At 55.2% G+C, this 20,975-nt stretch overlaps 1 pseudogene; it reads left to right on the top strand.

The window, feature by feature from the left end:
• On the top strand, positions 379–19,016 carry PHF2P2 (PHD finger protein 2 pseudogene 2; annotated as a pseudogene).

Below are 20,975 nucleotides of genomic sequence, written 5' to 3'. Positions count from 1 at the left end.
GTTGTCCAGGTGACACCAGAGGCACCTGGGCTGAGTGTGAGAAATGATATCTGTGCTCCAGCCCGGCGCGCCACAGCCATATGCAGGTGGCCAATCCAGAAAGACTCGCTTTCCAGTTCCCAGGAGTTTCCCTCTCAGGGGTGGATGGTTTTGGGGTCTTCTCATCATCATCTGGGGGTGGAGGCCAGCATCAGATCCAGTCTTCTGCCAGGGCCACAGCCAGCGCCTGGGCTCGTTCTGCCCTCTGTGATCCTGTGTGCTTCTCTGTGAAATGGGAGCTGTGACCTCTGGCCCGCAGGTGGTGAGACAGTGTGGGACGTGCCTCACAGAGCATGTTTCCCGCTCCAGGGGACGTCAAAAAGGGAGTCCCACGTTCCCTCACCACCTTCCTGTCCCACCCCCAGAATGTCCAGCTTCGTGGAGCCACCTGACACCATGAAGAAACTGTTCTGGGTGGAATGGCCAGATGCATTGCTGGCCAAGCCCAAGGTGACCAAGTCCTGCCTGATCTGCGTTGAAGGACAGCTACACCGACTTCCACGTCGATTGTGGGGGCGCCTCTGCCTGGTACCACATGCTCAAGGTGAGCCACACCCCTTGGGGCACCTCGGCTTTGCCGTGGCCATGACCCATCTGCAAGATGGTCTGCAGTCCCCGGGAGCCCTGACTGTGGACAAGATGCCACTCCCCAGCGGGCCCCGGACCATCCATCCTTGGGACAGGAGGCCATGGAGACATTGCTGGGTGGAGGGGCAGGGGTGCATGTGTGGGTGGAGGGGCAGGGGTGCATGTGGGATCAGAGAACTGCACGAGTGTCTCCTTTTTCTAATGGGATTCAGGCTCAATAACAATTGGGTGAGGCTGCTGGGTGACTGTGCACTTAGAGGAGAAAGTGGGGGGAGGGGGGTGTTGTGAAGACATCCTGGAAGAGGCCAACAATAGCCAGGGCCCCGCACAGGAGCCAGCAGGTAGGATAGGGGCATCTTGAGCAGGCAGGGAAGGCTAGGAATCTCATCATCAAGGCCGAGAGAGGGAAGCCAGAAAAAAAATGAGACATAAATAGCAACAGAAACAAAGGAAACCCTAAGCTGTGGGCTCCCCCAGCTGCTCATTGAGCTTCTCCAGACCTGCTGGAGCTGGAGCTGGAGCTGGGGGGCAGGTGCATGTGCTGATCCCACCTTTGGGAGGCCTTGAGCAAGTCACTGGGGCATTCTTGGAACCTGCCTTGGCTTCACTACAGTAGGACAGGGGTCTCGCTGCTCCCAGTGCAGAACCCCTCCTGGGGCCTGGCATAAGACTGCCTGGGACACAGTGGCATCATTTGACCCAGCCTGGGATCCAAGTGGCTCTCAAGAGTGGAGCTACCTGGAATGCTTCTGACAACCAGTTGCAGCTTTATTTGCAACCTGGGCACCCACACCGTTTGTAGTGCCTCAAAACTATGTAATGTGGGATTTACGGGCTTTAGCTCTTGACTGTGCCTGATACCCAGAACCTTCCTAACATGCACACTTCTGAATTGCAAAGCACTTGTGCTCTCAGTGTTGCAGGCAGGATTTGTGGAACTGGATGGCATACTTCTCACATTAAGACTTAACACTTGCACCCCCCACCCCCGTGTTCCACATGAGCAGCTCTGCCAACAGGCTCTCTTGGCATGGGGAGCAGACCTTCTATTTCATCAGGCTGACCTTGGCCAACATCTCCCTGGATGAGCTCTGGCAGTCTGCCTTTAACCACAGCGAGATGTTCTTTGCTGACCAGGTCCACAAATGCTGCAAGTGCATCGTCAAGCAGGGCCAGACCCTCTTCATCCCCTCAGGTGAGTGCAGGCAGCTTTGGGGACCGTGTCCTAGGGCTTGCCGGCCCTCATCAAGGTTACGCCTCTCTCCCTCGGGCTGTGTCCCCACCACGGGGTCTGTCTGCATCCCTGGCATGCCTGCTCCCTTGTCCGGAGCTTAACGCCACCCCAGCCCAGTCCCTGCAGAGGGGCCAGCAATGGAGCTTGTGCTGTCTGGTCAGCATGGGCACTCCTCACCACCGAGGCCACCTTGGAGCTGCACAGCCAGTCAGCCCCTTTCACAGCCTGGCTGGGCTCACTGTGACTGAGCCCATGGCTGGAGACCCAGCTCAGAGAGCCTTGTGTGGGGACGGCAGCCACGGCATCAGAGCCAGTGAGGGAGGAGGGTGCTAGCTCCTAATTAAGGCAATATTAGAGGACATTTTCTGTCTGTGCTGAAGGAGAAAGCCCGTCGTGAGCCACTGTGTGCCCCTAGATGATGGAAGAACAAATCCCAGACATCCCGCTGTTTCATTAAATATTCCACTATTTCTGAAGGGCTGCCTTTCCTTCTAAAGTAACACAGCTACAATACTGTTCTCACACCTCAAAAAATGAACAATTAACAATTCCCTAGTATTCTCAAATAGCTAAGTTGTGTTCAGAGTTTTGAATCGTTTTATAGGGTTTTTTTTTCCATTTAAAAAAAAGTATCAACTGAGGCCTTCACATTTTAATGATTTATAAGCCTCAGAATCTTCTGTAATCTCTGGGTCCCTCCTCTCTCCGTCGGCTTCCTCACCGTCACAGCTATTTAAGAAAGAGCTGTGGATTTCCCAGGATCTGGCCCAGGCTCCGTCTCCAAGGATAACCCGGGGTCCAGTCCCAGCTCTGGGGGCGATGCAGCTGCCCCGGCCTTGTCTCCTGCCCCTGAGTGTGGTTGGGAGGCCGGGTGGCTGGACACAGGCTGGGGCTTCCTCTCTCTCAGTACTGCGCTCATGTGGCCCGAGCGAGTCTCCTCAGCTCTGGGCCTCAGTTTCCCTGTCTGTGTGGTGCAGGGCTGGACTGACTAGTCTGTGCCGCCTCAGATGCAGCCTCTACCCCAACCCCCTTCCATGGAAGCTGGGGTGGTGCCAGGGGCAGAGAGCTTCTCCCAGGGAGGCCCCAGGCTGCTGGTGAAGCTGCAGAGGTGGACAGGGCACCAAGGCACAGGCGGGCAGGAGCTGGAGCCTGGGCTGGGCCGGGGAAGGCCTGTGCTGGTCTCTGCCACTCTCTGATCTGGAGCCATGAGAAGCCTGTTCATGGGAGCGAGGTGGGGCACCAAACACTCGTGTCTCTCTCTGAGGCTGGATCTATGCCACACTCACTTCTGTGGACTGCCTGGCCCTCGTGGGACATTTCCTCCCCAGCCTGAGCATGCAGATGCAGAGGAGGTAGTGCCTGCCGCACCGTCTGCCCTCAGGCTCCGCAGAGCAGCATCCTCTCTCTAGCGGGTTCGGTGCCAGATGCCTTGGGCCGAGCACTGGCTCATCCTGCCTGTGGGTGACCTGGACATGACCATCAGCCTCGGTGGGCCTCTTCTTGATGTGGAGGGAAGGAGGAGGTGGGCTCTGGTATCGTGCAGGCCGGCCCCTCTAGGGACCTGGCTGCTGGACGGTCATAGTCGCCCTTGGTGAGGTTGGGACTGCTTAAAAGGCTGCTCCCTTCTCTTCTCAGGCACCAACAGAGCTCTCATTGGCATCAAGGCCTGCAGCCACCCAGGGCGATTGTCCGCTGGTCCACCTCAGCTATGCAGGGCCCAGAGGGGAAGCCTGAGCTGGTGTGTCTGGGGCCTGGATCCACCCCCATCGTCACCTGCTTGATGGTCAGTGCACTGAGAATGGCTCTTTGGTGGCTTCCAGAGCATATGAAGTAGAAAGAAGGTTGCAATTGTGCAGCCTGACTCAGTTTCCCAACTTCTAAACTGTCTTCTGGTACCTGGGGAAGCACCTGCTGGAGGCGTTCAAATGTACTGGTCACTCCAGGGTGGGCGTCCAAGCCTGAGGCTCTTGGCTGTGGGGGCAGCCAGACCTGGGTCAGGGCTGTCAGGGTGTGAGTGCCACCTTCCTGTGGCCTGAGGAAGTCCCCTTGGGACTCAGCCTCCTGGGCCTCAGTTTCCTCATCTGTATAATGCAGGACCAGATTGAACAGGCTGGGCCTCTCCTTCTGATTAGACTGTGCCTTGTTTTAGAATGAACACTGGGCTGTGGGTTGAGAGGGGCAAGTGTGCATGGCCTCTGTGCAGGTATCAGTCACACCTGCTCCACACTCCACACTTGTCTCCATTGGGAAGGTGGAGCCCTGGCTCTGTCACGAGCTTAGGAGTGGGTGTGAGTGGGCTCTGGGTCCCCTTAGGATCCCTCAGGGCCATGGCAGCTGGACTGTGAGGCAGGCTTGCGGCTTGGTCCTGTCCCTCTGTGGACACACTGTGGCATCCCTGGGCTGCCCCTTCTGTTAGGTCCTGCCTGGTTACACCCTCAGAAATGAGAGCAGGTGGCTCCTGGCAGCCACCACCCTGTTCAGGTTTCCAGAGTCTGCCCAGCAGCATGAGGGAGCCTCCAGGAGGATTTGCATTTATGTGTGATTTGCTTTCTCAGTGTGTCCTTCACCAGAAGTTGCTCTTAGTTGCTCTTTTTTTGGTTCTGATAGCAGCCAAGAGCTCTTTTACCCAGAACCCTTTGCACTCTAGCCCTAGTTTGAGAAGGAAAAATGGTCCATAGTCATGGCTGGCCAGGTTTCAGTAAGATTTTCCCATTGCTCCCTAAATGTGAAGTCCTGAGCTTGACTCTGGCAGAGGGAAGTGCCCAGGATGGGAGTTGAGCCCTGCCCTCAGGGGACTCGTGCCAGCAAGGAGGGGATCAGGGTAGCACCCGGGAAGCCCTTCTACAAGGCCAGCCTGATTACTGGCCAGCTAGGCCACCGTGGCCATGTCCTCTCTGCCTGGGCCCTCCTCTCTGAGGGGATGACAGTTCAGTTGGCCCCCAGGACTGAGAAAACCCAGGGAGCTGTCATAGCTCTGGTGAGTCAAAGCCCTGGAGCCCTCTCCAATGGAGGCCCACAGCAGGAGCACATCTCTCAGCTGAGCTGTGGTTTGTCCCTTCACTGTGCCAAGGGGCGCCATGAGGTGGGAAGAGGTGCCTGGGGATGTCTGGTGTATGCCCAGGGACAGCCTGTGGCCCGGCTCCTGGCATGACTGTGGCCTCTTGCTCAGTGAGGGCTGGGATATTGGGCAGAGTGAGCAGAGCCAGGCAGCCTGTGTTAGGGGCCTGGAGGATGAGACAGTGGGAGCACAGTAGGAGGGCCAATCTTTTCTCTCACAGGGCAGGCCACCAGGAGGATGGGCGCCCCCAGGTTCCAAGAGGAACCGTTGGCATTTGGGATGGTGGCCGTGGGTGAAGGGAGACCTCTGGAAGGCTGGACCTGGCGTCCCCCAGTCTGGCTGTGTGGCTGGGCTTGAAGGCACCTGTGGGCAGTGGGCACCCACCCACCTCACCCAGTGTCTCTTTCCTGGGCTCTCACAAATCTGGCAAGCAGCTGCCCCCTCATCTAGTCCAAGGAGCTAAAATTCTCAATGATGCTTTCCAACCGTGGACGAAGAAGCAGGTAGGAATCATGTCACAAATGCCCTAGGGCAGGAAAGCGGTGACAGGTGGGAGCACCTCCCTGGAGACCCAGCAGCAATGTCCAGGGCTTGTCCTGCTTCAGTAAGATCCGGCCTGGCAGGGTCGGTGGTGCTCTCCTGCCTGGCTTGGCCCAGGGTGTGAATTTGCCCCAGACACCCCATGGGTCTGTCCCCTGCTCTCCACTGACTGGGCCACTTGAGAGCTGGGGGAGGACAGATGTAGGTGCAGAGCACCCTCCACCAGGGGCTCACAAGTTGGTGGGAGGAGGGTGGGCAGGTGACCATGTGTCCTGGGAGGAAAGTGGGTCTGCGGGTGGAGGACAGATGGCTCATGGTGGGATGACACTGTGTGAGCACAGAAAGGCTTGGAACCTGGTGGGGGCAGAGAAGGACTGGGGGAGTGGCTGGCCCCAGGACAGGGAGTGCTGGGGATGCCCTTTTGGCTCCTCCTGGCTGGCCCTGGCATCAGTTCAGAAGCTAAGCTGCCTGATGTGGGTGCAGCACCCCAGCCACCTTGCTCTGTGACCCGGGCATCCCCTCCCTGTGACACTCCCTGATGACCCTCCTGTGCACACCCCCACAGAAGTTCTTCCTGTGTTCCTTAGCATCTTCCCTTGGTTTTGGCTACAGAAGGGAGGGGAAGGTCTGGCTTAGCCTCGAGCACCCTCTGGGACAGTGTTTCCTGCTGGGGCTCTCATTTTGCAGAGGCTCTTTGCCCACTCCTGAGGGAGAAGGACCCTCTCCCAGGCCAGAGAGGGCCAGTGGAGGTTTGCAGGAAGCCTTCAGGAGGGGGAGGCCAGGCTTCAGGTAACACCATGTGCAGCCTGCCTCTCTCATGGGTGGGCCATGTAGGAGAGGCAGCCAGTACACTCCCAGGGCCATCCTGCAGCCACCACCTCCCTCAGGCCTCAAGGCCCAGGGCAGTCCAGGGTGCCCCTCCCACCTCACCTCAGCCGTGTGGCCCAGTGGAGTGGCCTCTGACCAGGAAGAAGGGATGGGACTCATGTTTACTCCATAGCCCGCTGGTGGTGGCCTCAGGCATGCTTGTCCCCTCTGGTTCTCAGTTTGTCCACCTATTGATGGGGGTCACAGCAGAGACCTCTTGCTGGGGCAGAATTTGGCTGGGGAGCCCCTCTCCTCATGCTCATCTGGGTGTCTCAGCAATCGGGACAGCCTGGAATGATGCAGGAATAGATCAAGGCCATGGGGCATGTTTGGCGCTGACCCTGGGCCCCGTTGCCCTGTATGCTTTGGCAGAGCATGAGGACAAGCTCCTGGAGCACTTCAAACCTTCACAGCTTGTCAAAGACCTGGCCAAAGAGATCTGGCTCAGTGAGGTGGGGTTGTGCCCAGGTACTGGGCTGGACCCCTGGGGATGGGGGAGGGCCTGCCTGTCTTTCTCTGGGCCTGGGGGCCAGCCTGACACAGAGCTGCCAGCTCCAGACAGTACTCTCTGCACTCTCCTGGGCAAGCTTGCCTTTGTGAGGGCTCAGGGTCCCAGGTCTCTGGCTGGGTCTGTGTCCTGGTGTGAGTGTGTAGGGACTGAGAGATGGCACTGGCCCCTCTGAAGCTCCAATGGGGAGGGCACTCTCTGGGAGGAGCCCCTGCCTCAGCCCCTGGAGTCCCAGCATGTGTGATCCTGGATGAGCCCCCAGTCACTGTGCTCAGGGTAGAACAGAAGAGCCTTGGGGAGAGCAAGTGACTGATGGTATATGGCAGGTGTGAGAGTGTCACACAACAGCGTGGGGTGGGTGTGAGCATGTCACATGATTGTGTGGGATAGCTGAGCCTTTCTGGGCTAACAGCTCCCCACCAGGCTAGCAGTGAGGGTCTCCAGCATCCCGGTGTGTGGACTCTCCTGGGCCACAGTTTGGCAGAAGCAGCAAGTAACCCTTTCCTTTCTGTACCCCAGAATGCCTCCAAAGCCACCTGACCGGAAGTGAATACTGTTGCCTCGTCAGATGATGTCTGTGATGGGGACTGGGAGAAGGAGGAGCCCCTGCCTCCAATTGAGGCCACCCCGCCTCCAATTGAGGCCACCCCGCCTCAATCCCTCCTGGAGAAAGTGTCCAAAAAAAAAAGGCTCCCAAAACTGTGAAGATGACCAAGCCATCCAAAATCCCCAAGCCCCCAAAACCCCCTAAGCCCCCAAGGCTCCACAAAATGCTGAATCTCAAAGATGGAGGCAAGAAGAAAAGGAAGAAGTCCTGAGAGTCAGCCTTGCCTAATATCTCCAACCTGGACCTGCTCAAAGCCCACACCAAGGAGGCACTGACCAAGATGGAGCCACCCAAGAAGGGCAAGGTAGGGCCCCCTCACCCTGACTCCCCACCTCATCACCAGAGGCGCTGCAATATCTCTTGGGTGCCAGGCCCATAGATATAACTAGGACCCATTGTCCTTGTTCTCCAGGGGACCCTGGGAGGATGTGGGGGTTTGGGCTCTTCTGTGAGGTCAGTCTGCCCAGAAGATGCACTTCCCTGCCTGGTCGTGACCCAATCCTGCAATATCCTGGTCCAGACCCTTCAGGGTGGACAGGCTCTGCCCCAGCAAGCCACAGAGCAGTGGGCCTGGAGAGGGGCCCTCATTGAGGAAGGCAGCACAGTGTGTGTGTGCTGTGGCAGCGGTGGCACTCAGGAGGGCCACCTGGTGGGGGAGGCATGGTGGTTTTCCAGGGTGGGATGTCTGAGTTCCTAGCCAGATGAGCAGTTGCCAGGGGACAGAGAAGCCCTGGATCCTCCTTGGGGCCAAGGCATTGAGGCTGAAGCCTGAAGGTAGATGAGGTGTCTGTGCAGAAACAACAGGGAGAATGCCATTGGAGGGGAGGGTGTTCAGGGATGAGGACAGGAGCAGAGTTGCCCTGATAGTCAGAGTCCCAGTGGACAGTGAGAGAGATGGGCCCATCCCTGAAGACCCACTCTAACTAGAGGATCTTAGGTCTGGGCTTCAGGGACCATGAACCCCTGAGATCAAGCACCATTGAGTGTGAGCTTCTGCCAGGAGGAGGTTGTTATCCACTTGCTGGGGGCCAGGACATTTCAGGGCCAGCATCACAGGGATGTAGTGGGACACTTTTGTGTTCCCTTTCTCAGGGCAAGCATGAATGAATGCATGAACAAATGAATGGATGGCTAAATGACTGGATGGATGAATGGGTCAATGAATGAATAGATGGACGAATGGATGAATGAATGCATGAACATATGGATGGATGGATAAGTGAATTGATGACTGGATGGATGGTTGAATGGATGGATAGATGAACGAATTGATGTATAGGTGGATGGATGGATGAATAAATGAATGGGTGGATGGGTGAATGGGTAGATGGATGGATCATGGAAGAATGAATAAATGAATGGATGGGTGGATGAATGGATGGTGAATGAATGGGTAGATGGATGAATGGATTAATGAAGGGATGGATGGATGAGTGACTGGATGGATGAGTGGATAGATGGATGGGTAGATGGATGAAAGAATGGATGGATGGTTGGGTGGGTGCGTGAGTGGATGGATGGATTGATGAATATATGGATGGATGGATGAATGAACAAATGGATGGATGGGTGGATGGAATGGATAGTTAGATGGAATCGATGGATGGATGGATGGATGAATAAATGGATGGTTAGATGAATGAATGGATGGAAAGGTGGATGAATGAACAAATGGATGGGTGAATAAATGAATGGATGGATGAGTGGATGAATGAATGAACAAATGGTGAGTGGATGGATGGGTGGGTGGTTGGATGGATGGGTGGATGAATGGATGGATGCATAAATGGATGGATGGATGGATGGATGAATGAATGGATGAACGAATGGATGGATTGATGGATGTGTGGATGGATGAATGAATAGATGGATAGATGGATGAATGAATCAGTGGGTGAGCAAATAGATGAATGGATGAACAAATGGATGGATGGATAGGTGGGTGAATGAACCGATGGATGGATAAATGAATGGATGAATGAATGGATGGGTAGATGGATGGATGGGTGGATCAATGAATGAATGAATGAATGAATAAAAGGATGGATGGGTGCAGGAATGGAGGAATAGGTGGATGGATGGATGGATGGATGCAAGGATGAATAAATGGATGGGTGGATAGGTAAATGGATAAATAAATGGATGAGTCAATGGATGGATGGGTGGGTGGATGAATGGGAAGAACGAATGGATGCATGGATGGATGGATGGGTGGGTGGATGAATGGGAAGAACGAATGGATGCATGGATGGATGGATGGGTGGGCAGATGGGTGGGCAGATGGGTGGGTGGATGGATGGACGGATGGATGGATGGATAAATGAATGAATGGGTGAATGGATGGATGGATGGATGAATGAATGGGATGAATGAGTGGATGGGTGGGTGGATGAATGGACAGATGGGTGGATGGATGAGTGGATGGATGAACAAATGCATGGAGGATGGATGGATGGATGAGTGGATGAATGAATAGATGAATAAATGGATGGTTGGATGGATGCGTGGATGGGTAGATGGATAGGTGGGTGAATGGATGCATGGATGGGTAGATGGATGGGGGCATGAGCTGCAAGCACATGGGCTAGAAGGAGACAGGGAATCTGTGTGGCACAGGGGAGTCCCACTGGCCCTCTGCGTCTGCCTCTGGGTCACAGCAACACTTTTTTCTAGGCCACAAAGACCATCCTGAGTGTGCCCAACAAGGACGTGGTCCACATAGAAAATGATGTGGAGAGGCTGGAAATTCGAGAGCAAACCAAGAGCAAGTCAGAGGCCAAGTGGAAGTACAAGGTGAGACATGCACGTGTGCATGGATGCATGTGCGTGCATGTCAGGTCAGTGAGTGTGAGCAGAGATGTGAATCCATGAAGCCCTGTGTGTGTGAAGGAATGTGCAGACGTGTCTGCTTGTCCTGAGCAGTTGGTGCCATGAGGTGTGGCTATGTGAGTCTGAAGTGTGTGTAGCCACCCATGGACTACCTTCCTCTGAGTTGGTTGGGATGCAAGAGGTTGGGTGTGTCACCCTGCGTGTTGACAGTGTTTCCCTTCATCGTCCACACTCTGGTTTTCATTCCCACTCCCTGAGGGCCAGGCACCATGGAGGCACTGAGCCCATGGGGTGCAGGCCCCTGAGCACCCCACAGCGGTCCAGGTGGCCATGAGACCTATGGGTGACTTTCCTTAGGCCTGTTCCCAGCAGCTGCCTCTGCCCCCTGACACTAGTCAGGGTCCTGACCCCCTACTTATGTCTGGGGCTCAGGGACAGCCCTGGTCTTGCTTTTCAGAACAGCAAACCCAACTCCTTACTGAAGATGGAAGAGGAGCAGAAGCTAGAGAAGTTGCCTCTAGGTGGAAACAAAGACAACTTCTCTTTTTCTTTCTCCAACAGGAAACTCCTTGGGTATGTGAGTGCCTGGATGGGAGGGGTGACCTCGCATGTAACCCACATCACACACACCATACATACTGCATCACGCACACTGCCTGATACCACACACACATTACACACACACCATGCATGCACACTGCATCAAACACACACCACACACTGCATTACACACAACCACACACACTGCACATCACACACCCCATACACACACAATCTTTGGCTGACACACCTCTGGGGACTCCTCTCCCTCTGAGCTGCTGACCTCACTGACTGCAGCCCTGTTCCCGGCACCTCTTATTCAGGGCCTAGACACTAGCAGAGCTGTGTCTGTGCCTCCCACCACGCTCCACCTGCAGGGCAGGTTTGAGGAAGCAGACATGCCTGGGTGGGGCTGGGCTGGAAGATGCAGCCAGTCTGCAGAGAGGGATGGGCCCCCCCAGGCAGGGAGGGAGGCTGTGGGACTCCACGAATGTTAGATGTGGGGCTCTTGTGAGCTGGTGCTGGGGACACGAGTGGTGGATAGGATCCTGGCCCTCGGAGCCCAGTGGCCAGTGGGGAGGGCTTGGTATGAACCCAGCATGGGAACCTGAGTGCTGAGAACATGACCCATCTGGGACTCAGGAGGGCCTCCTGTAGGAGGTGGCGCTGAGCAGAGATTAGGGGGTGTGTCTGGGAGGTGTGTGCATGCTGGATGAGCCTCGGGGTGAGGCAAGGGGTGCTGAGGGCTGTGAGCCCCATGGCAGCCTTGAGAGCTTCATGGTACCAGCGGCAACACTTGGGCCTGTGTGTACTCCCAGTGCGTGGGGCATGTTACCTGCTGAGGCCCCACACCTGGCTGGAGTCAGAGAGGTCCCAGTGGGAGGGGCGACCACTTTTCTGCAGCGAATACTGATTAACTTGGCTGGGTCATAGTTTCCTCATTGAAGAGATGGTAGAAGAAGGCGTCTTTCCGGGTGGTGGAGAAAGGGAGCAGTGCCCAGGCAGAGCCTTGTGAGGGGCAGGGAGCTCAGGGCAACATGCAAGGCCGTTCAGCCAAGGGGCAGGTCTGCAGGGTCCTGTGGCTGCCCAGCTTCATGACCCTGGGCATGCCGCTTGCTGTATCTGAAGCTCTGCTTCTAGGTTCTGTTCACTGTGTGGTGGTGCCAGGGAGTTGAGGATGGAGATGAGAAAGGCTGGCATGACTCTAGCCTGTGGACACTTGTGTGTTCTGTGGCTCAGCCCATAAGGCAGTGGGGCCCGCCGCCCCTTCACTTAGAGCACTGGAAGCAGCCTCGCCCTGGAGCTCTATCCAGGTGTCTGCACTTCCATTTCCTCAGAATTGGAGCTGTGTCTGTTGGAAGTTCCAGACTTTTCTGCCTCAGCCTGTTGTCTGTGATACTACAGAGGGAGAAACCTGTCCTCAAACCACTGGGAAGGCAAAGGCAGCAGCTGCTTGCAAGCCAAGCTCTGAAGTAGTCCTCCTTCACCCCAGCAGGGAGACAAGTTACAAGCCCTTTCTTAGACTGTTAATCTATCCTGTAGCCCTGGTCCTGAGTTTATTTTTCCAATATAGCTATGGAGAAAAAAACAGGAAAGTTGGATCCTATTCCAGTTAAAGACAGATTCAGCATGTGCCAGGATTCCCAGGCAGGCCCGAGGCGGGGCTTAAGCTTGTCCAGTGGCACTGGGACAGTTGGGGGTCACTGTCTCGAGCATCTAAACTGCCTGGGGAAGGGCTCTCTCTGGCTGATTGTGGGGAGGGAAGCACAGCATTGTGTAGGAGGCCATGGGGTTGGGGAGTGTTTCTCCTGTGGGCAGGTAGCTTCCCACAGTGGGGACTGAGGGCCCAGCCTGGCCTCCTGATTGCAGAGGCTTGGACCCTCCGCCCTCCTCCAACCTTGACTGGTAGTGAGGCTTCTTCGGATTGAAATTCAAATGATGGGGAATTCACCTGCCTCCTGGAGCCCATCCTGCCATGGCCTTGGCAGGGGACCCCTTGGGAGGTTCCACCTGTCTGCTGGCCATGGGGCTGTGTGGATGCTGCTGACCCACTCACTTCTGCCCTAGCTCCAAGGCTCTCAGGCCCCTGACAAGCCCTGGTGTGTTCAGGGCCTTGCAGAACTTCAAGGAGGACAAGCCCAAGCCCGTGCAGGACGAGTATGAGTACGTTTCGGACAATGGCGAGCTCAAGATCAACGAGTTTTCCATCAGGAGGAACAAAAATGCCCCAAAAAGGCACTTGTCCTGTGAGTTGGGAAGGGGCGTTGGGGGAGGGGTTGGGAGAGGCCCGTCATGCCCTGAGAGGTATTCCTGGAGTGGCTGGCTCCCCCCAAGGCTGCCCACTGGGCTCCCATCTGCTGTGCTTTCAGTCTTGTTGCATATGAAGGTGGTGCTGTCCACACCTGTCATGAAGCCAAAGCTTGACTCAGCAGCGTACAAGGTGAGCTGCCTTCCGGGCCCCCTCGGTCTTGAAGGCCATCTCTGGGCAGTCCCCAAGGCCATGGTTTGAGTGACTCCAGGGTGGTCTCTGAGGGTGTTTCTGCGCAAGATGATGGAGAGGCCCCTTACTCTCAACCCACCCTTGAGTGAGTGTTCTAAGGTCACGTCTAACTCTAAGACACAGTGGTCACCTCCGCCTGGGCGTGCGAGGGGCCTGTCTCCACTGAGCACCCTGCCAGGGGAGTTTATCCGGATTTGAGCCTGTTAACTGCTTTCCCGCAACTTGAGGTCCCTCTGAGGCTGCAGGCCCTGCCCCTGCCTCTCCACCCAGTCATCGCGGCATCTCTTTATATGTGTTACACACTGGGGCTCTCTTGTGTTAAGGGTTCCGTTGAACCAGTTTCTCTGTGAATATGGTGCACAGTGTGAAGACAGTTTGGTCCTTTGTGGTCCTGAGACATCTCTAGCACCCACGTCTGTCCCGTGTGCCCATGTGTGGGCCATCCAGCCCCGTTGGCTCCAGGGGCCTCTGTCTGACCCCAGCAGTGTTCATTAGAAAGGTAGTGCTCTTTGAAAACGTTAAAAAACCTAGTTTAGTCCCTGAAGGGAAAAAGTATCCCCCTCCCAACTCCCAGGCCACTTCGGTGGCCGGACCCTCCCCTGACCGGTGCCCTGTCTCTCACGCGTCACAGTGACGACTCCTTGGTCGAGGGTTTGCTGCACATCGACACGGACACCAAGCCCCGGCCACAATGCCAGAGTCAAGAAGGAGAGCGGGAGCTTGGCAGCCGACATCTTGCACCTGCTGCAGGCCAGCGAGGAGATCGGTGCCCTGGAATACAACCCCAGCAGGTGGGCCCCACCACCCAGCAGCACCCAAGAGTGGGGACCAGGCAGGTCCAGGGCTGGCCTTCGGCCATGGTGCTTGGAGCCTGTGAGGTGGACGCACAGCTGGAGCCAGTGCTGAGCCGCCCCGGGCCTGGGCAGGAGGGCACACCGCAGGGTACAGATGCTGCTCTAATGCCAGAGGGCACACTGCGGGGTACATATGCTGGAGTGTTTGGTCTCACTGGGGCTTTGCTTTCAACCAAGGGCTTACTTTTCTAGTGATGGTCCCTGGTACATTCTCTCAGAACTCCCAGGTTTTCAATTTTAAGTGCCGAGACTGTTGTTTTTTCAGGTGGAAATGTTATGGGTTGTTCCACATGTACTACAGACAGGTAGCCCAGGGGGCAGAGCTGCAGCCCCCTCCCTGGTGCCCCTGAAGCTCTGCTTCTAGGTTCCTGGGAAGCTATTAAATGGCATTCACTCTGAGACGGTGCTAGGCAGTTGAGGATGGAGGTGAGAAATGCTGGCCTGACCCTAGCCTAGCCCCATGCAGGGTGCCACAGCTGCCATGGGGAGCACAGCCCTCCCGGTCCTCATGACAGCTGCAGATTCCCATTGCACAGATGGGGAAACTGAGACTCTGAGGGCTTACACTTGCACATGGCCACACTGCTAGGAAGTGGCAGAGCCAGGCTCAGAATCTCCGTCTGCCTGATTCTGGAACTTGAGGTTGGAGGTCCTGGAGGGTTGACTAGCGCTGGGCAGTGATGTCTGGGTGTGCGTGGCGGGTCCCTTGTCCAGCAGTGACTTGGCTTGAGGAAGACAGAGCCCATGCTAGGGTCCTGCTCAGTTCCCAAGATCTGCTCTGAGACTCTGTGGTTTCCAGAATCCATGGGCAACCCAGGGCTACCCTGTCACCTGCTCCACAGCCCCGAGCTTGCTCAGTGGGCAGGTGGAGGCCGCAGGGCAGGCCTGCTTTTAGACAGACGAGAGGCTTGGGCAAGGTGGATTAAGGGCTTGATTGAAAAGAGCTTTTGCTAAATCAATTGGCTGTTATTTTATTTCATGTATTACTGTTTTACATGCAATATTATGTTCATGTAATATTGATCAGAAAGCCAGCTGTAAGGTTTTTTTTTATTATTGGGAGTGAAGCATGATGGGAGGCTTCCATAGCGCCTTAGGGGACAGATTTCCTGCTCGGCACTAGGTGGTTTCTGTCCATGTTAAGCTCCTTGCCGCAGAGACGTGCTTGTGGCTGGGGGTGAAGGCTGGCTATGAGCTCTTCCTCCCTATCAGAGGCTGTGGTGCTCCACACAGCTCTTTGAGGGATGCCTGTCTCTGGGAAGGAGTGTGCACTAGCCGACACCTCAGTGACTGGCCTCAGGGGTGGGAGAGGCTTCTAAACACCCTAGGCCCCTCCCGAGGTCCCTGGAGAGGCCCGGGAGCCGTGGAGTTAGGGGGTGTCTGAGGCCACCCAAGATGAGGGCAGACAGGGCCAAGAGCCCAGGGGTCACAAGGTGCTTTGTTGTGGGCACCTGTGGACTTGCAGGGGGCATGGTGATGGGGACAGAGGTGGGGAGGGTTTTGTGCTTGAGTCTGTGAGGAGGCACTGCGTCCTGGGTTCCCGGCTGTGAATCTGAGCCCAGGAGTGGGGCAACCCATCTGTGGAAACACTGATAACAAGAAACCCAGAGCTTCCCCTGCTGAACCCATACCTTCGGGGAGTGTGCACGTGCATATGTGCCTGCCAGGGGCCACTGAGACCGCCGGTCCCCCTCAGCCCGCTGCAGGCAGTTCCTCTCCCAAAATCTCCCATTTGGAGCGTAGGTCAGTTTTTGATGGTCCATTTGTTCTGTTTTAAGTATGGACTGCTTGGAAAAACAGCTGAAGAAAATGGAGGAAAATATGTTAATTTGTCATGGGTAGTTTGTTCAGTGTTTACAGCTGGGGGAAAAAGAGAGGATTTGGGTATGATAATTGGGGGATTAATGTATTATTTTTCATGCCAACTAGTTAGACGTTGCTCATTGATTCGCCAGCAACCCTGCAGGGCCCGGGCATGCAGCCCTCATCCTTTTGGGTTGCCGAGATGTTACGGCATGAACCCTCGCAGTGGGTGTCCCTGGCCACCCCCGTCCCCCCGTGGCTGGGTGCAGACCCCGCCCTCCAGTCTTTCTGGGCCTTGCAGGCCAGTTGAGGGATAGGGTTGGGCCTGCTAGAGGCTGCAGGGTGAACTGTGTGCTCTGGCTGGCTCCTGAGCTGGGGCTGGAAGAGCCTGTTCCTGTGGAGATGTCAGTGAGAGCAGGAGTGACCACCCTTGCTCAGGCAGGCCCTCAGAGCTGCAGCTTGTGTGGCAGGGGAGGTGTGGTCCCGGCACTGTGGGGGCGGCTCCCGGCAGTGCCTTCTGAGGAGTGCTCCAGGCTGACCGTGCTTGATTTTCTCATTGGTGTGGCTTTCAAACCTCAGTCCTGTTCAGTTCGTGTGAAACCCGAAATGCGGCGCAGTCCAGTGTGTCTGAGACAGGGCCCGGGAGGTGGCATTGGTGAGGGCTGCAGCGAGGGTGCCTCCCCCATCACTGGGCACCCCGAGTCCACTGGACCCTCAGCGAGCAGTGGGTTTGGGCCTCAGCGCTGTCCAGCATGGGCAGCTTTTGTCCAAGTTGCCTCACTAGCCCTAGACTCCCTTTGTGTCTGGGCTTCCTGCGGCAGCTTCCTCTCCCTGTCCCGCGCCAGCAGAACCTCAGTCTTAGGAGCCCTCTTGCTTCTGAGCAGGGACTTGTCCTCATGGGCCACTGCCCCAGGTGCCTCAGTCTCTGTGTCTGGTGACATAGATGGGTACAGGCATGCAGAGCTGGGTGGCCCGCCTGCCACTGTGTTGTCCTCTTTCTTGTCTCACATGTGTGCTGTCCTTGGTGAGGGGTTCTTGGTACACAAGACCCCATAAAGCACCGGGGTGTGTTCACAGCCACAGGTTTGCCAGCCTTTCTCGTTTGAATGGTTTTACTGCAAGTGCCTCTGGTGCTTCTGGGAAGTGGTGGAGAGGGGATGGGCAGCTCGAGAGACAGTGATGCTGATGCAGGAGTCCTGGAGGGGTGGGTCCAGGGAGCAGAGGGAGAGGACAGCAGGCACCCCATGTGCCCCAAGTATGGGCCCAGGAGTGCCCAGATGCAGTGACAGATGTGGCCGGGCCTCCCCTGTAGGGGGGGTGGGCTGCCTTGTCCTGGGGCCAGGTTTGGGCCATGGGGAAGTGGGCAGGGGTGAGGACTAGAAAGGGACGTTGCAGGGGGTACCTGCTGGGCTGAACCACGTGAGTGGTGGGGAAGCCTGGGGCACCTGTCCTGGCTACACACAGCATCTGGAGCCCAGGGCAGACTCCTGACTCAGAGTTTTTGGGTGGGGCCTGGGCCTTGACATTTGTAAAGCTGCCCAGGTAGTTCTGGTGCACAGACAGGTTAGGGTCCTGGCTGTAGGGATGTTTGGGCTGGGGTGGGGCAGGGCCCCATGAAGAGGCCAGGGCTGGATCCCATGGGAGGGCCCAGCAGGGAGGTACCCAAAGAGCCCAGGACTTGGCCTTGGGGGTCCTTGCCATCCAGCAGCACCAAGCCCCTGGTTCTCTGGGATGACAGTGGTCATCCCATCTCACCACTTTGTGTGTCTAGACAGGCTGATCACATATCGGGTGTTTCAGAAGCTTCTAGAAGGAGGAGAGCCAGTGTAGACAGGAGGTGTGTGCACAGGTATGGAGCATAGGACAAGGATGTAGATGAGAGAGAGGCTGGGCACTATGGGAGGGGCCACCTGAAGCTGAGGGCAGCGCAAAGAGAAAGCCTGAGAGTCTGTGGAGCCTGCCAGAAGGGAGTGAGCTTGTGCTGAGCTGAGGTGCAGCTGTGCCTGTTCAGGTGCACATGTAGCTGCAGGTCCATGTGCAGGTGGGTGCAGGTGTGGGGTTAGGTGCAGGTGTAGATGCAGCTGGGGGTGCAGATGTGGGGGTAGCACAGGTGTAGATGCAGGTGTGAGTGTGGAGTTGGTACAGGTGTAGATGCAGCTGGGGGTGTAGATGTGGGGGCTAGCCACAGGTGTAGATGTAAGTGTGGGGGTAGGTACAGGTGTAGATGCAGGTGTGGGTGCAGGTGTGGGTGTGGAGAAAAGTTGCAGGTCACTGGGGAGAGCATGTGCCATGGGAGGGAGTGGGCTGTGCTGCCCCTTCTCAGGGTGACACGTGGGAAGGTTCCCTGCGAAGTGGGGTAAGGAATGCCCAGGGCTAGTTCTGCAGTTGGGAAAGAGGGACAGGGTGGAATGAAGGAGTACACAGAGTGGCTGGGGTGCAGGAGGGAAGTCGCTGAGTCTGCTTGCCAGCTTTAAGGTGGGAGAGACCAAACCGTGACCATGTGAGGGTCTGGACCCTCCTTCCCATCTGCTGTCTTCCCAATTCTCCTCTCCATGCCCATCTCTCTCCCCAGGCCTCCAGCCTTCCCTGTGGAGTATGGGTGGGTGAACAGAGCTGGATGGGGGAGTGGCTGGCCTTTTCCAAGGGAGAAGTCATCAGTTCACTCCCACCCTCTCTGCTCCACACCCACTGCCTGCCACCAAGGCCAGGAGTTTGTGCAGGAGTTTGTGCAGGCCATGGGCTGTTGTCTAAGTGTCTGGGCTGCAGGCTAAGACTGCTGGGCTGAGTGCCTGTCTCTCCGTGCCCCTAGCCAGCCCCCAGCCTGCCCCAGCATGCAGGAAGCCATTCAGGGAATGCTGTCCATGGCCAACCTGCAGGCCTCCGACTCCTACCTGCAGACCACATGGTGCACTGGCCAGGCCAAGAGGAGCTCGCTGGCATCCCATGGTGCCCAGAAGAATGGGGGTGGCAGCGGCAAGAGTGCAGGCAAGCAACTGCTGAAGAGGGCTGCCAAGAACAGCGCGGACCTGGGCCACTACGAGGAAGAGCACAAGACACCAGATCTGGGAGTCCCTAGTCTCCAGAACTGTGATAAGTAAATGTTTGTTGTTTAAGCCACCCAGCTTATGGTATGTATGTTGTAGCAGGCCAAATGGACTAGAACATTTATTATTTCATTTACTCAAGTAAATAGTAATTTTAAAAAAAATCTGTAAACCTTTTACATAAAGTTATGTCACAAAGGTTACAGCAACAGAATTTGAATCAAGTTTGCAATATGACATGAGGGTTCTGGCATCTATTTTGTCCCTTGGTATCAAGTTTATTTCTCTAAATAGTTTGTTTTTAACTTTGGTTACCTGCCAAAAGGGGAAAAGAAAATTCTACTTGTAAGTATAAATATAAAGCAGAAATCCTGTAGTTACGTATGTAACGATCTTATAAAATATAATCAGACTGTTGTGATTGTTTCATGTATCAGTGGATGTATATTTACAGTAATACATTTATACATGTAAACTTTAAATTTGAGTTATAGTTCTATGTATATGTATTTTACTGAGCCTCTGAGCATAATAATAATGCTGTTACTAAGTTATTCTCCAGTTCTTTTCCTTATGGGTTAGTCACATTTCTATGTGATATATATGCATGTATCCAGTAGAGAATATCTAAGAGTTGCCAACAGTCTGGATCACAAACACCATGAAAGGAACCACCACCAGCTTCCTTTAGATTATATTTTCTTCTAGTGAATATAAGAATTTGATTTTAGATATTTAGCCAAGTCTTAAAGACACAAACTCTGTTCAAAGAGTAGTGGATGAAACACCAGGCAAGAGTCAGAATCCATGGGATCCAGTTGGGTATATTTGAGACCCTAGGCAAATCCCTTTACCGAATGGGGGCCTCACCTCTTATTATTAAAAAAAAAAATCAACATGGGGTATAAAGCATGGTTTTTACATTGAACAGGAAAGAAAACAAACTCATAAAGGAAAAGGCAATTTATTCACTTGTTTTATTAATACAATGAAAGCCCTAGGGATGTGTTTTACTCTTAATCTTAGCCAAAAGGCTGAGAAGTGATTGGGATAACGTGTTTTAGAGCTGGCCTTAGACAAAGCAGAATGCAGGAGCTGTTTTCCCAGGTTGGGCACCATTCTTAGGAAGGTGTTTCCCCGCAGCTTCAGGTTCAATTCTCTCTTCTTAGTGATCCTAGTGATGAGGTTATCTTTATCCTGAGAGCTCCCGATTAAAATCCCCTCAGTCTTTTTGGCTTTAATTGGTCAGGCTTGATCACATACTTTCTCTAATAGTTACTGTGGCCAGAGTGGCTGATTTAAAAAAAAAACAAAAACAAAATACTGATCAGCTATCTTTACTACTGTAGCCAATGGTAAGGACAGTTCTTCCTGAGTTACAGACAATGCTGCAGTTGTGGTGCCTGCAGGCAAATCAGGGACCCAAAGAAAGGAAAATAGATTTTGGGAAAGCAAAGCTACAGATATCCATCACAAATGACCAATGTTTCTTCCTTTTTTTTTTTTTTTTTTAGGTAAGGTCTCGCTGTCTTGCCTAGGCTGGAGTTCAGTGGCATGATCATAGCTCACTGCAGCCTCGATCTCCCAGGCTCAAATGATCCTCCCACGGGCCCAGGGGGGTTGTGGAGTCCCTGGCTTGCACCCAGGGTGCGTGTCTCCAACACGGTGGGGGGGCACCTGAAAGTGGCAAAAAGTGCCCCGGGGCACGGGAACAGGACGCCAGGCTTGCAGGGGGACGTCGAGGCAGCCCGGCGAAACAAGCGCGAGGCCGAGGAGGCGGCTGTGGTCATCCCGAGTAGGCCAGTGCCCTCCTGGCCACTCCTGCACCGGCCCTGGCTGGGTGGGGGATGGTCGTGGAGTCCCTGGCTTGCACCCAGAGTGCCTGTCTTCCCCATGGGGGGCACCTGAAAGCAGCAAAAAGTCCCCCCGGGGCTCAGGGACAGGACGCCAGGCTTGCAGGGAGA

The sequence above is a fragment of the Homo sapiens genome, chromosome 13 (genome assembly GCF_000001405.40).
Source record: "Homo sapiens chromosome 13, GRCh38.p14 Primary Assembly".
In the NCBI taxonomy this organism is placed as follows: Eukaryota; Metazoa; Chordata; class Mammalia; order Primates; family Hominidae; genus Homo; species Homo sapiens.
This window is presented reverse-complemented; position numbering and strand designations above follow the sequence as displayed.